Raw genomic sequence first — 17,188 nt, forward strand, 5'->3', positions numbered from 1 at the left:
TCTTGGTTCACTGCAACCTCCACCTCCCGGGTTCAAGCAATTCTCATGTCTCAGCCTCCCGAGTAGCTGAGACTACAGGTGTGCGGCACCACGCCCGGCTAATTTTTGTAATTTTTGCAGAGATGGGGTTTCACCATGTTGCCTAGACTGGTCTGGAACTTCTGGGCTCAAGCGATCCACACACTTCTGTCTCCCAAAGTGCTGGTATTACAGGTGTGAGCCACCATGCCTGGCTACATTTCAGTTTCTTTTTTTTTTTTTTCTTTTTTTTTTTTTGAGACGGAGTCTCGCTCTGTCGCCTAGGCTGGACTGCAGTGGCGCGATCTCGGCTCACTGCAAGCTCCGCCTCCTGGGTTCACACCATTCTCCTGCCTCAGCCTCCCCAGCAGCTGGGACTTCAGGCGCCCGCCACCGCGCCCGGCTAATTTTTTTTGTATTTTTAGTAGAGACGGGGTTTCATCGTGATCCTGACCTCGTGATCCGCCCGCTTCGGCCTCTCAAAGTGCTGGGATTACAGGCGTGAGCCACCGCGCCCGGCGCTACATTTCAGTTTCTAATTGTTCACTGTATGTAGAAATACAATTATTTCTATATGTTGAGCTTAAACACACAGAAATTGTACTGTTAAACTCATTTATTAAGTTCCAGCAACTTTTTAACAAATTCCTTGGGAATTTTCTGCAAATTGTATTATTTCTGAATAAGACATTAAGACTTCCCTATAATGCTGAATAGAAGTAGTGGACATCTATACCTTTTCCCCAATCTTAGGGAGGAAGCTTTCAGTCTTTCAACATTAAGTGTTAGGTTAGCTGTAGGTTTTTCTGCAAACACCCTGTAATGGGTTGAGCAAATACTATTCTAGTCTTATTTTCTAAGAGCTTTTTTTTAAAAACCATGAATGGATGTCAAATTTTGTCAAATATGTTCCCTTAATCTACTTAGACAATTAGGTGATTTTTCTCATGTATTGTTTTTCTTAAAAAATATTAATTTATTAATTGATTTGAGACTGGGTTATGAGACTGGCTAATTTTTATATTTTTGGTAGAGACGGGGTTTCATGTGTTGCTCAAGGCTGGTCTCGAACTCCTGAGCTCAGGCAATCCGCATGCCTCAGGCTCCCAAAGTGACAGGATTACAGGAGTGAACCACCACACTCAGCCTTGTTACTGCCTGTCTTTTGGGTATAAACCATTTTACCTGGGGTGAGATGATATCTCATTGTAGTTTTGATTTGCATTCCTCTGATAATCAATGATGTTGAATACCTATGCCTGTTGCCATTTGTAGCATCTTCTTTTGAGAAATATCTCTTCAGTCTTTTGTCCATTTTTTAAACAGATTATTAGACTTTTACCTATAGAGTGGTTTGAATTTACATATTCTGGTTATGAACACTTTGTCAGATGTGTAGTTTGCAAATATTTTCTCCCATTCTGTGGGTTGTCTCTTCACTTTATTGATTGTATACTTTGCTGTGCAGAAGCTTTTTTACTTGATTTGATCACATTTATCCATATTTGTTTGGCTGCCTGTGCCTGTGGGGTATTGCTCATAAATTTTTGTTCAGATCAATATCCGGGAGAGTTTTCCCAATGTTCTCTTATAGTAGTTTCATACTTTTGAGATCTTAGATTTAAGCCTTTCATCCATTTTGATTTCAGTTTTTGTATGTGCTGAGAGACAGGGGTCAAGTTTTTCTTTTGCATATGAATATCCAGTATTCCCAGCACTATTTATTGAAGAGACTTTATGCTCTTGGGACCTTTGTCAAAAATAAGTTCACTGTAGGTGTGTGGATTTGTTTCTGGGTTCTCTCTCCTGTTCCACTGGTCTATGTGTCTATTTTTATGCTAGTACCATGCTGTTTTGGTTATCATAGCTCTGTAGCATAACTGAAGTCAGGTAAAGTTATTTCTCCCTTTCAGCTTAGAAATAGCTTTGGCTATTCTGGGTTAATTTTTATTTTTCTTTTCGTTTTGTTGTTGTTGTTGTTGTTGTTGTATTGAGATGGGTCTTGCCAAGGTGCTCAGACTAGCCTCAACCTCCTTGGCTTAAGTAGTCTTTTCCCTGCCTCAGTCACGCAGGTAGCTAAGACTTCAGGCACAGGGGTGCCACACCACCCAACTTTCACTTTCTTCTTTTTTGAGACGGAGACTTGCTCCGTCACCCAGGCTGGAGTGCAATGGTGCGATCTCAGCTCACTGCAACCTCTGCCTCCCAGTTCAAGCAATTCTCCTGCCTCAGACTCCTAAGTAGCTGGGATTACAGGTGCGCGTGACCACGCCCAGCTAATTTTTGTATTTTTTTAGTAGAGACTGGGTTTCACCATGTTGGTCAGGCTGGTCTCAAACTCCTGACCTGGTCATCTGCCCGCCTCGGCCTCCCAAAGTGCTGGGATTACAGGCGTGAGCAACTGCGCCCAGCCCACTATCTTCTTTCTAATGCAGGTTTTACTTGCTCTTCTTTTTTCAGCTTCCTAAAGGTGAGAACTGACTTAGATAGATCTTTGGTGTTTAATAATCTCAGCTATAAATATTCTTAGATTATCCCACAAATTTCTATGTGTGTGTGTGTTTTTTTTTTTAAACGGAGTCTCGCTTTGTTGCCAGGCTGGAGTGCAGTAGCACGATCTCGTCTCACTGCAACCTCCACCTCCCGAGGTCAAGTGATTCTCCTGCCTCAGCCTCCCAAGCAGCCGGGACTACAGGCATGTGCCACCACGCCCAGCTAATTTTTTTGTATTTTTAGCAGAGATAGGGTTTCACCATGTTGGCCAGGATGGTCTCGATCTCTTGACCTCATGATCCACTCGCCTTGGCCTCCCAAAGTGCTGGGATTACAGGCGTGAGCCACCACGCCCGGCCCTATGTGTCTTTCATTTTTATTCATTTCAAAGTATTTTCTGATTTCATTTTTGGGGATTCATCTTTTACTTATGAATTATTTAGAAGTGTGTTATTTAATTTCCACATATTTAGAGAATTTCATAACTTGTGTTACTGAATTCTAATTTAATTCTGTTGTGGTCTGAAAATATATTCTGCATGAGTTTAATCTTTTAAAACGTATCAAGACATTTGATTACCCAGAATAGGATGGTATCTTGGTATAATTCCACACGCACTTCAAAAGAATATGAGAAAAATGTGGTTGTTTTTTTTTTTTTTTGAGACAGAGTCTCGCTCTATCACCCAGGCTGCAGTGCAGTGGCACGATCTCGGCTCACTGCCAGCTCTGCCTCCCAGGTTCACGCCATTCTCCTACCTCAGCCTCCTGAGTAGCTGGGACTACAGGCGCCCGCCACCATGCCTGGCTACTTTTTTGTATTTTTGGTAGAGATGGGGTTTCACCATGTTAGCCAGGATGATCTCGATCTCCTGACCTCATGATCTGCCCGTCTCAGCTTCCCAAAGTGCTGGGATTACAGGCGTGAGCCACTGCGCCCAGCCGAGAAAAATGTGTTTTATATTTTCCCATTGGTTGACAATTTCTGGCACTCTTTACTCCTTTGGTAGATCCATGTTTCTACCTACTATGTTTTCTTTCTATCTGAAGAACGTCCTTTAGTGTTTCTGCTACTGTAGGTCTACTGGCAACAAATTCTTTAAACTTTTCTTTTTCTGATAATGTTTATCTTGCCTCCATTTTTGAAAGATATTTTTGCTGGTTAAAAAATTTTAAGTTGACAGATGTTATTTTTCCTTTCCACATTTAAAGACATCATTCCATTGTGTTTTGGCTTGTAAAATTTCTGACAATATGTCTGCTGATAGTTGTTACTGTGTTCCTCTGTATGTGTTTGTATGTATGTGTTTTTAATTTTCTTTCTGCTGGTTAATTTTAAGATTTTCTCTTTACAATCGTTTTCCAGAAATTTGGTAATAATGTCCTTTAATATGTCTATGTATGCTGTCAGTGTGTTTATCCTACGTGGGATTCGTAGAGTTTCATCGATCTGTGGGATATAGTTTTAATGAAAGTGTGAAAGAAATATTAAACATTATTTCTTCAACTGCTATTCCCAATTTGTTCTTTATGAGACTCTATCCCATGTATATTAGCCCTCTTGATATTGTACCACAGGTCACTAAAGTTTCATTCATTTTTTTGGTCAATCTTTTATTCCACTCTGTACTTCATTTTGGATAACTATTAAGTGTTTGGATTTTGTTGTCTTCCTTTAAAAAATGTTGAAGTTGAAAAAACTGGAACATTTGTACACTGTTGATGGGAATGTAAAATGGCACACCATTGTGGAAAACAGTAGGACAATCCATCAAAAAATTAAAAATGGAATTACCATATAATCGAGGAATTCCACTTCTGGGTATATACCAGAAAGAACTGAAAGCAGGGTCTGGAAGAGGTATCTGTTCACCATTGCTCATAGCAGTATTATTCACAAATGGCCAAGGTTGGTAGCAACCCAAGTAACCATTTATAAACAAATAACAATAAACAAAATGTGGTAAAACATACAAAGGAATATTATTCAGCCTTAAAAGGGAAGGCAATTCTGACACATGCTAAAAAATGGATAAACCCTGTCTGGGTGCAGTGGCTCACACCTGTAATCCCAGCACTTTGGGAGGCTAAGGCGGTCGAATCACCTGAGGTCAGGAGTCTGAGACCAGCCTGACCAGCATGAAGAAACCCTATCTCTACTAAAAATACAAAATTAGCTTGGCATGGTGGCACATGCCTGTAATCCCAGCTACTCGGGAGGCTAAGGCGGGAGAATCACATGAACCCAGGAGGTAGAGGTTGCAGTGAGCTGAGATCTCTCCATTGCACTGCAGCCTGGGCACCAAGAGCAAAACTCCACCTCAAAAAAAAAAAAAAAAAGAAATAAAAATAAATAAAAAATAAACCCTGAGGAACTTATGCTCTAAGTTAAGTAAGCCAGTCACAAAAAAACAAACACCGTATGGTTCCACTTTAGTGGGTGATTGCCAGGGACTGAAGGGACAGGGGAATATGAAGTTCTTATTTAATGGATACAGAGTTTCAGTTTTGCAAGATGAAAAAAGTTACGGAGATTGGTTGCACAATAATGTAAATGTACTTAACACTAGTGAATTAACTGTACACTTAGAAATGGGGAGTCTAGGCAGGCGCGGTGGCTCACGCCCGTAATCACAGCACTTTGGGAGGCCAAGGCCAGCGGATCACCTGAGGTCAGGAGTTCAAGACCAGCCTGGCCAGCATGGCAAAACCCCATCTCTACTAAAAATACAAAAATTGGCTGGCGTGGTGGTGGACACCTGTAATCCCAGTTACTTGGAGGCTGAGGCAGGAGAATCGCTTGTACTTGGAATCCAGCCTGGGCGACAGGAGCGAGACTCTGAAAAAAAAAAAGAAAAGAAAAGAAATGGGGAGTCTAGCTCCATCTCCTAGGCTGGAGTGCACTGGTGTGATCTCAGCTCACGGCAGCCTCCGCCTCCAAGTTCATACGATTCTCTTGCCTCAGCCTCCTGAGTAGCTGGGACTACAGGCATGTGTCACCATGGCCGGCTAATTTTTATATTTTTAGTAGAGATGGGGTCTCACCATGTTGGCCAGACTAGTCTTGAACTCCTGACCTCAGGTGATCCGCCTGCCTCAGCCTCCCAAAGTGCTGGGATTACAGACGTGAGCCATTGCACACGGCTTTAGAAATGGTTAAGATGGTAATTTTTTTTTTTTTTTTGAGACAGTCTCACTCTGTCACCCAGGCTAGAATGCAGTGGCATGATCTTGGCTCACTGCAACCTCCACCTCCTGGGTTCAAGCGATTCTCGTGCCTCAGCCTCCCGAGTAGCTGGGATTACAGGCGCCCGCCATCATACCTGGCTAGTTTTTGTATTTTTAGTAGAGACGGGGTTTTGCCATGTTGGCCAGGCTGGTCTCCAACTCCGGACCTCAGGTGATCTGCCCACCTCGGCCGCCCAAAGTGCTGGGATTACAGGCGTGACCGACTGCGTCCTGCCGGTAAATTTTATATTGTCTGTATTTTGCCACAATTAAAAAAAATTTTTGTTTTTTCACAATTAAAATGTTTTTAAATGTTGAACTTTGTTTTAAAAATCAGTTATTTGTAGAACAGTTTGACAGTTTGATTCCTTGAATCCTGTTTTAAATCATTACTAGGGTCTAGTGTAATCTTCATTCCAGAGATACTTTAGCCCTGCTAAGGTGTAACCTTTTTTTTTTTTTTTTCCTTTTTGAGACAGGGTCTTGCTCTGTTGCCCAGGCTGGAGTGCAGTGGTGTAATCTTGGGTTTACAACCTCTGCCTCCTGGGTTCAAGCAATTCTCCTGCCTCAGCCTCCCAAGTAGCTGGGACTACAGGTGTGCGTGACCATGTCTGGCTAATTTATATGTGTTTTTAGTAGAAATGGGGTTTTGCCATGTTGGCCAGGCTGCCCTCGAACTCCTGGCCTCAAGTGATCTACCCGCCTTGGTCTCCCAATGTGCTGGGATAACAGGTGTGAGCCACCACGTCTGACCAAGATGTAATCTTTATGGGGGCCTTCATAATTGTCCCCAAGGACTCTACAGTTGGTAGTCAGAGTTCAAATGTCTCATGCCACATGTAAACCTTAGGAATTTTTCATATACAACTCCCTAGTTTTTCTTAGGCCATTTTTTTGGAGTTTCACTCTATGCAAGGAGGGCCTAGTAGCCAGCAAAGATTTAAGACTACTCATCACATGTGGCTAAACAGGCCAGGCACAGTGGCTCAGGCCTGAAATCCCAGCACTTTGGGGGGCCGAGGCAGGCAGATCATCTGTGGTTAGGAGTTCAAGATCAGCCTGGCTAACATGGCAAAACCCTGTCCCTACTAAAAATACAAAACTTAGCCAGGCGTGGTAGCACACACCTATAGTCCCAGCTACTGTGGAGGTTGAGTCAGGAGAATCACTTGAACCCGGGAGGCAAAGGCTGCAGTGAGCCATGATCATGCAACTGCACTCCAGTCTGGGTGACAGAGCAAGACTCCATCCCATAAAAAAGAAAAAAATGTGGCTAAACGCCTTTGCAATCTTTTTTTATGCTTTACCACTATACTCCGTCTCCCTTGTATATGACCTAATTCTCATTCCATACCGTCATAATAATGGCAGGAGGGCCAACGGTAGCAACAGTAACAACAGAAGTTACCATTTATGGCTGGGTGCAGTGGCTCACGCCTCTAATCTCAGCACTTTGGGAAGCCAAGGCAGGTGGATCACCTGAGGTCAGGAGTTCAAAACCAGCCTGGCCAACATAGTGAAACCCCATCTCTACTAAAAATATAAAAATTAGCTGGTGTGGTGGTGCACATCTGCAGTCCCAGCTACTCGGGAGGCTGAGGTAGCAGAATCACTTGAACCCGGGAGGCAGAGGCTTCAGTAAGCCGAGATTGCACCATTGCACTCTAGCCTGGGCAACAGAGGGAGACTGCGTGTCAAAAAAAAAGAAAAAACAAAAAGGCCGGGCACAGTGGCTCACGCCTGTAATCCCAGCACTTTGGGAGGCTGAGGCGGGCAGATCACGAGGTCAGGAGATCCAGACCATCCTGGCTAACACGGTGAAACCCCGTCTCTACTAAAAATACAAAAAGAAATTAGCGGGGCGTGGTGGCAGGCGCCCGTAGTCCCAGCTACTCGGGAAGCTGAGGCAGGAGAATGGCATGAACCTGGGAGGCGGAGCTTGCAGTGAGCCGAGATCGCACCACTGCACTCCAGCCTGAGCGACGGAGCAAGACTCCATCTCAAAAAATAAGAGAAGTTACCATTTACTCAAAAACTAATTCAGTGATAAGAATTTCTTATCCACTTACTCTAATTCCCACTAGTCTGCAAGATAAATAGAAGTAGTAGCCTCATGTTACAGATAAGAAAGCCATGGGTTGAATGGTTTATGTAACTTCCACAAGGTTACATGATATTGCTAAATGTGAATCAACTAGATCTAAGTCAAAAGTACATAGTTTTCCCATTACATCAAAATGCCTTCTCCTCTTCTCCCACTTACCTCTTCAGTCATGGCATATGTATGATGTCTTTTAAACCTCAATACAAAGATTATGGAAGCATTTTCTGATTAACTTTCCATCATTTCAGCATTCGGTTATGTGTAGAATAATACTATACAGGTCAGGAGTGGTGGCTCAGGCCTGTAATCCCAGCACTTTCGGAGGCCGAGGTGGGCTGATTACTTGAGGTCAGGAGTTCGAGACCAGCCTGGCCAACATGGTGAAACCCCATCTCTAGTAAAAATACAAAAATTAGCCAGGCGTGGTGGCACATGCCTATAATCCCAGCTACAAGAGAGGCTGAGGCAGGAGAATCGCATGAACCTGGGAGGTGGAGGTTGCAGTGAGCTGAGATCGTGACACTGCACTCCAGCCTGGGTGACAAGAGCGAGACTCTGTCAAAAATAATAAATAAATAAATAAATAAATTTATGTAAAATCACTAGCATATTTTATTGTTGCTCTCAAGATAAATTGATCTTAACATAAGTTCCTTGGTATTATGGAATGTCTCTTATAGTCTTTTGGCTTAAAATAGTAGTTGAATTTGGTAGCCTGAATATAATAGTTGCTCAGTAATAAAATTATAAAAGAACTACCTCTCTCATCAATGTAACAATATTTGTAAACCAGCTATAAAAAGACGAAATGATTCTGTGAAACACTATTGAAGGGATTTATGTTCTCTAGAATGTGAAAATTACCATGGATTTGTGTCCTAATTATAAAAATCTTCAGTTATGTCAAATACCTGAGAAATGAGCAAAGAGACATAAATATCTTAAAAGCTACAAATATTTAAAAAAAGACCTCTAAGAGAGATGTAAACTTTAACAGAGTATTTGCAAATACTCATTTCAGAAATGAAAATAGTTATCCTCATATTACATCCTAAAGACCTAATAAGATATTAAAAACCTCCAGAAAAGGCTTAGATTGTACTCATCAATAATAATTTTGTTACTATGGGTTCCTGATATGCATAATAAAGACTACAGATTTCAGTAAAATCATATACTGTTAGTATATTATCCCTTTGGATTTATCTCAAAAACAGGAATTTAGTTCAAGGATGGGCCTTGAGGCATCTTATCCAAAATACAAATTGCTTTTTGTTTCTACAGTTGTTTACATACCTCAGTTTACTAAACAGATGGTTTCTAGAGGTATGGTATTCCTTTGACTATACCTAGAAGGTTAGGACATGATTCTGGTTTATTTCTTTGCCTTTAAATTGCAAAATAAAGGCTGTCATTCCCTGTGTTGCTACAATATATGAGAAAGCTAGGTCAACCAAAATTGTGAATACAGTGATTTTGAAAGCTCAGGTTTATATTTAATGGCAATTCTCTAGAGTATTTGCATTTGGCTCTGCAATGCAACTGGGAACATTACAAACCTATGACAAATTTTATTTTAACTTTTTTCTGGGTCTGACAAACAATATAAATCTGTAGGAGAGGCAGAGAATTAGTAAGAGCTTGTGGTCAGGAACTCCTTTTTCTTCCTCCTTCCAAAGCCAAAACTAAAACAAGAAACTGTCCTTTTCTATGATAGGTTTATTTCTATTTTCCCGTACATTGTTAAGTGTCACCTTTTGGGGGTTCCAACTTTATGCATATGTGGTTTTTTGTTCTACTAGAGTCCTAGGCTCTGTCTTTTGTCTCTTCCAGCTGGATGTGTTCCAATTACCAGACTCCCAGCCACCAGGGATCAAGCAGATGTCAAGCAGCTCTAATGCTCTTTATCTCTGTTGAATTGAACTTTCTGAAGTTTCTGGTTTCCTATTTAGTTACTTCAAAGTTCAGTCATACTGTAAGAAATGTTGTCCATGTATTTTCAGGTTTTAGATAACAAGGTGTTTGCTTGCTCTGCACACCTAATCTACCACATTGCTGGAAATAAAGAGCTCTAATTTATTTCAATGCCACCTGAATTTTAAGTCTCCTTTCCCTCTTTCAAGCTCCAAACTTTCACATTCTCAGACTATTTTTTCTTATTTTCTCAATCATTTGACACTTTCTGATCGAACTCTTCTTGATCTCTTTGTGACATCTAATGTTGACTAATCTATTCCATTCTGAAGTCTTGTTTAGGCTTCTGTGACATATACAGTTTGATGTTTCTTATTTAAGTGTCCTTCACTAAACATCTTTTCTTCCACTTCCCTCCAAAATGCTCGAGTTTCTTAGGTCTCCGTCCCCATCACCTCACTTAACACATTCTCCCTGGATGATCTCTTTCACTGCCAAATTCAAGTTCATATATATACTGGTAGATCTCTACCACAGATGTCTCTAAAAGTATAAACCACTGCTTCTAACGGTCTATTCAATATCTCTACCTAAATAGGCCAAAGACAGTCCAAATTTAATATATCCAAATCTGAAGCCCTTATCTACTCTGTCTGCATGCATTTGTCACACTCCATTCTTCATATTGTAATGTTATAGCATTTTTTAACATACACATATGATAGACTATAATATTACTTACAAATATTTGCTATCCACCCCCCACCGCCAAAAGGATTATACTTTCTAGTCCCATTGACACAAGACTTAACCACATGACTTGCTTTGGCACTGAAACTGAGAAGTAACATTTAATGCAGAAATTTTAATAGCCACTTAGTGCTTTACTATGGCCCTTTCCCCTCCGCCAGAAGACAAGCAACATTCAAGGTACAGGTTCTCTGTTAGCCGGGGTCCTAGAGGGAAGGCAACATGGAGTGGACTCTTGATGGTCACACAGCATGAACAAAAAATAAGCCTTTGTTGTTTTAAGCCTCTGAGATTTGGGGATCATTTTTTAACACTCCAAGACCTATCCTATTCTTACTGATAGAGCATATCAAATAATTTATCTTCCTTGTTAGAAATTGTTCAGTAGCTCCCAATTGCATGTACAATGAAGTTCCAACTCCTCTGAATGAAAAAAACATACCATATATGATATAGTCCCCATTATTGCTTTTACAACCTCCTTTTCCAACCACCATCACCACCACTTATGTACATTAGTCATATCCAACAATGGGTTATTCTTCAAAAACACTATGCTATTTCATGGTTTTGTGCCTTTCTTCGAAAGTGCTGTTGTTACTGTGCTACATTATTACCCTTTATGTTGTCCCACTTGCCTACTTAAGTAAATTCAATATACAGTAGTGTGCGTGACTTATTCAGTGATATCTTCTTCAGTCATTTCAAGTGGTTAGTGCTTGAATTTCTCTGTGTCATAGCATTTTGTACACTGCTCTGTTACAGAATTTAATACATTGCTTTTCAGTGAATATGTCTGAATTATTGAGGGCAGTAACTCAATCTTACTCGTATTTGTATTCCCAGTGCTCACTACTCACAGCAACCCTCAACAGAAATCTAATTCAATGAACAGAATAGTCTCATTGCAAAAGAAACATTATGAATTTAGATATTCTTTCTTTTGTTTACAAAAGTAAAATATTTTGGTGATTTTCAACATTGATATGTCCCTTATCAAAATCTCATTCATTTGTTCAGGGGTTGGTGAACTTTTTCTGTAAAAGGCCAGAGAGTAAATATTTTAGGCTTTTGAGGACATATATAATGCTTACCTCATATTATACTTCATCTTTTCTCCCCAAGCCTTTAAAAACCTAAAAATAATTCTTAGCTTGAGGGCTACACAAAAACAGGCCTTGGACTGCATTTGGCCCATAGGCTGAGTTTCCTTACCCTGGTCTAGGTAAACATCAGAGAAATTAAGTCACTTCTTGTTAGAGTACAAAAGTCTCTCCATGGTAGTATAAAAACAAAGCACCAAGAGAGATACAACTATCACTTGCTGCCAAGCAGACAACTGGACTAACAAAGAGCTTCTAAAGATAATCATCAACTAAATTCAACAAATACCATATTGATACAATTTGAAAGGCCTTCTACTTCTTCAAAGACCTAGAGATAGAAAGGCAGGAGATAATGTCACTTCCTTGTTTACGTTTCCACAACTTCCAACTGTGTTTAAGGCTCTACATCACTAATTCTCTACTACGTTTCCAGCCTCATATTAAAAAACCATCTTTGGCTGGGTGCGGTGGCTCATGCCTGTAATCCCAGCACTTTTGGAGGCTGAGGCCGGCAGATCATCTGAGGTCAGGAGTTCGAGACCAGCCTGGCCAACATGGCGAATTTTAGTCTCTACTAAAAATACAAAAATATTAGCCGGGTATCATGGTGGGCACCTGTAATTCCAGCTACTCAGGAGGCTGAGGCAAGAGAATCACTTGAACCCAGGAGTCAGTGGTTGCAGTGAGCCGAGATTGCACCACTGTACTCCAGCCTGGGCAACAGAGTGGGACTCATCTCAAAACCAACCAACCAACCAACCAACCAACCAACCAACCAACCGTCTTTAGTCTGACCACACTGGCTTTTTTATTTATTTTCCTGAACACTCTAAATTCTCTTTAATATATTCCTCACTATCTGGAATTAATCTATCACTCTCCATCTCTCTCAGTAAAATTAATACATTAAAAAAATTATTTCTTACTCTTCAACCATCAGGAAAAGGCAGAAAACAGGTATAAATCATCCTCTCTCTTTTTTTTTTTTTTTTTGGTAAACACACAAACTATCCATAAAAAGAAAATTGGAAGCATACCCTAAATTTCTGTATAAATTATACAAATATGTTGTATGTATTAACAGGTTGTAAATATATAAACATTAGCAATTAAGAAGTTTAAAAATAACTATTAATAGAGGTTCTCCTCATGAACTCTTAATTATTTTGCATATCCCTAGAGATTTCTGAATGCTACTTTGGAAATTACTAGTTTACTAAACAATTTTTTTTTTTTTCAGACAGAGTCTCACTCTGTCACCCAGGCTGGAAAGCAGTGGAGTGATCTCCGCTCACTGCAACCTCCGCCTCCCAGGTTCAAGAGATTCTCCTGCCTCAGCCTCCCAAGTAGCTGGGATTACAGGTGCACGCCACCATGCCTGGCTAGTTTTTGTATTTTTAGTACAGATGGGGTTTCACCATGTTGAACAGGGTGGTCTCGAACTCCTGATCTCAGGTGATCCACCCACCTCAGCCTCCCAAAGTGCTGGGATTATAGGCGTAAGCCACAGCGCCTGGCCTTAAGCAATTTTATATGTATCTAAATCTTTATTAAACAGCTACAATCCACATTCCCCTATTATTCCCAACACACACTTTTACTTTAATTCAGCTTTGTAAAGGGGAAGACTACTATATTGTTTCAATGTACATTACTGATTCTCAAATACCAAGTCTATTGTTTCAACTCCTTTGAATGGAAAAATAAAATACCATATATGATACAGTCCCCATTATTTTTTCTACAATATTGTAACTCCTTATTCACAAATAACAAATGGGAAACTATCTTGAAAATCTGGTAAAACAAATAGCACTAGCCTGTTGAAGAAGTACTCTCAGATGAAGACCTTTTCCGGGTAGGGCTACAATTTGTGCTCTCTGATGGCCGCTGGGAGGGTTTATCAGAGGTTGGCTGGGAGCCTGGAGAAAGAGAAAAAGATAGAAATCATAGGAAAATTCAACTTTAAAAATAATGTGAAACCATCTTTTGTTAGAACTTGTTACAGTTTAGTTGCTGCCACTGTCATCCCCTGTAATAACATGACTTGTAACCTGATATTAGGAGGAAAATAAGCAGAGGACAAATCACACTATATGTTGTTGTCAGAATTTCACAGATCTTATATACATAAGTTCTCCTGTTACATTACCAGAGGAAAAACTAATTTTAATGGAAGAATAAACAAGATATGATTTAGTTTTCATGTGTTACTAGCCTAAAACATTATTTAAAATATTGATACAAATTACTAACAATATTTTAACCAAATCTGTTCTGGATTATTGATTAAAATTCATCATATAAACTGACAAAATTTACAATGTAATTTATTAAAAAGTTGATGTGAGGGCCCAGCGCAGTGGCTCACGCCTGTAATCCCAGTACTTTGGGAGGCCGAGGCGGGTGGATCACAAGGTCAAGAGTTTGAGACCAGCCTGGCCAACATGGTGAAACCCTGCCTCTACTAAGAATACAAAAATTAGCCAGGCATGGTGGCACATGCCTGTAATCCCAGCTACTCGAGAGGCTGAGGCAGGAGAATCGCTTGAACCTGGGAGGCAGAGGTTGCAGTGAGCCGAGATTGCGCCATTGCACTGCAGCCTGGGCAACAGAGCAAGACTCCATCTCAAAAAAAAGAAAGTAAAGCCTCAAACCTTAAACCCACACATCCTATCCAATTCACAGAAATTATTTTCAGATTCTATGTTTTTCTTCCTTTTGCAAATTCTAGAAAAACTGGTAATTAATTTATCCATGAAATACAGTAAGTTTCTTTTAAAGCTGTACACTTAAGGATCCTTGGCTATATACATAAAAGCTTATGAAGACAAAGAAACTCAATTTCCTTTCAAAAACTTTCATGCTTTTAGCAAAACCGCAAATCTATAGAGCATATTACATCTCCCGCTCAAAAGAAAAGTATGTTGTTGATGTAAGATTATTTTCCTGAATAAAATATACTTGATTCTTATATTGGATTCTTTATAATCTAAAATGCCAGCTATTAAGAGTTGGTAATGAATGTCTACCTCATGTTTGTCAAAAAACTAGTAATCTGAAATGCTTATTGATGGGAAAAAATTACAAATAAAAAAACTTACATGTAACTGGAGCCGCAAAAGGTACAATAAATCAAAAAGTTGAAGATTTTCAAGATCTGCCTCTAAATGAAAGTTCACTCCTAAAAGAAGATGTGATTAATTCTCTAAGAAAACTTAGGGTCAGAAGAACTGAATGGAGCTAAGTTGCTGTTTCCTTTTCTCTAAGAGAAATAGACCATGAGCCTTGTTTCAATTAAGTAGTATCTTAAATCACATTGCTGTAAATAGTCTTTTAGCAGGCTATGGGAAGCACTGCTCAGGTGAGATGTAAGACTATATGCTGTCATTCAAGAGTAACACGTTAAATTTTTTTTTAGAAAATTGATGTGATAGTACATCCTACTTCTGAAACACAATGATGACTGATGTAGACCTATTCAAGCAGCAAGATTGTTTATTGTTGAATCTTAACAACAGATACAAGATGGATTTTTATATCTGACAGTATAATAAATCCTCCTCGAGTGTGGTTCAGATGAGATATTTCCATTAAATAACTGAATGTCGCAATGAAACATCTAAGAAATAAAAAGCCCAGGCATCAGAGAAGACATAACTTTAAGTATTAATACTGAAAACTTAATATACAGACAGATACATATTTCCTACCCAACACATAGTCAAGACAGAAGACAATAGTGGCCAAGAAGCCTGAGATAATAGTCAACTGTATCACCATTCCTGATCATGGATTAAGTACTAAGAAAAGAGGGGTTTGAGGGTTTTTTTTTTTTTTTTTTGGGAGACGGACTCTGTCTCCCAGGCTGGAGAGCAGTGGTGCAATCTTGGCTCACTGAAACCTCTGCCTCCCGGGTTCAAGTGTTTCTCTTGCCTCAGCCTCCTGAGTAGCTGGGATTACAGGCATGGGCCACCATGCCCAGCTAATTTTTTGTATTTTTAGTAGAGACGGGGTTCCATCATGTTGGCCAGGCTGGTGTCAAACTCCTTACCTCAAGTGATCCGCCCGCCTCAGCCTCCCAAAGTGCTGGGATTATAGGCATGAGCCACTGCGCCCAGCCCTAAGAGCACTTTTTATATAGTCTTTTCTCTCAGTAATAAACTAACATTTATTAAGTGAGTATAGTTTATATGTTTGGTACTATGCTAGATATTGTGAAGGTAGGGGGAAGACTACAAATGGTGTAATGGTCTCTGCCCTCAAGGAGCTTACTAATCATCGTGTATATCATCATGCACTACATTTTAGGTGGCACTTGTGCCATCCATTCTTGAGCTCCATCTTCAGTTCTTAGGCTATTTGGTAGTGTTTCCTGAATTTCTTGGTCATCTTCAAGAAAGTCTTGATGAAGGCTTCAACTGTACCTTTGATAATCAGGATATCCTGAGAATCACCCTGCCTGGCCTCACCCACCTCAGGGTAAAAAGAGGGTACAGGCACTTTCTTCAAAGCTCCTTCTTTTGGTGACATCTGGAGCTTCAGAGGCAGTGGGAGATGGAATGGGGGTCAGATCCATGGAGATCATTATTGGCAGCATTATTGGCAGCAATTCCTGAGAAACTGAAACAATTGAGAGAGAGATGGCTTACTTAGCTCACTTAGCTTCTAAGCCATTTTTCATTTCCTGAAAGTAATGGAAGCCAGCAGCCTATTCTTAGGATTTAATAGGAGATTTGAGTAAAATTTCATTCAGGAAGGTTCTCATTTTTCATTTTTAAAAGTTTGAATTCCCTGTTCATACAGAGCAGAGCTATTCTTAACAATATTCCATATTTAAAAAGAATCAAGTTGTATCCTTGAGATACAGATCTCTATCGCTTGGTAATCATCAGCTCTAGCATCTTATTTCACTTAAAAGCAGTGCTCACAGAGGCAGTAAGAAGATGAGGATAACTGAAAAAACATTAACGATATAAAGCAACCAAGTTTAAGACTGGAAAGTGATGCTATCACTTATGTAAAAGAAATAGCAACCAGTTAAAAGATGTTCAAAGTATGTTAAAATTAGCCTAACAGTAGGAATCATATGAAATCTGCAAACATCTGTAACATTGCCAGAAATACACTGTTTTATAAACGCCAATTTGCAGTTGGGCTTCCAGAAAGAACCAGATAATGCCCAGAGAACTAGTATGTCCAATTCAACAGAGACCAATATATATGTATGTGTCCAAACCTAAAACATAATGCAGAGCAGAGTCGAGTGCGATATCGTGTTCAGTACATGGACTATGGAGTAAAGCATCCTTGGGTTTGACTCCTGGCTCTGCTACAAATTAAACTAGAGAGAATCTATAGAAGTAAATGTGCCTGGGCTTTGGTTTAATAAAGCTAAGTTACAGCATTGTTGTGAGTCCCAAAACGAGATAATGTAATCCAAAAACAATTTTATAAAATTCAAAATGTTTTATAAATATTAGTGACTACTATATATTAATTGAGTCCTTAGGTTTATTATGGAATTTTTACATAGGCAGGTGTGGGGGCTCATGCCTGTAATCCCAGCACTTTG

The 17,188-nt window shown here is 39.9% G+C and overlaps 1 protein-coding gene across 14 annotated transcripts in view; it reads right to left on the bottom strand.

Moving 5' to 3' along the window:
• ASH1L (ASH1 like histone lysine methyltransferase) overlaps positions 1 to 17,188 on the bottom strand; it is a 227,935-nt gene that overhangs the window by 111,096 nt on the left and 99,651 nt on the right. For all 14 annotated transcript variants that reach the window (XM_047425248.1, XM_017001785.2, XM_006711450.4 and 11 more), the window contains one exon: positions 13,434 to 13,535. In XM_047425248.1, the coding sequence (XP_047281204.1) occupies positions 13,434 to 13,535 (102 nt within the window). The remainder of the gene's footprint in view (positions 1 to 13,433; positions 13,536 to 17,188) is intronic.

Source organism: Homo sapiens, chromosome 1 (genome assembly GCF_000001405.40).
Source record: "Homo sapiens chromosome 1, GRCh38.p14 Primary Assembly".
Lineage (NCBI taxonomy): Eukaryota > Metazoa > Chordata > Mammalia > Primates > Hominidae > Homo > Homo sapiens.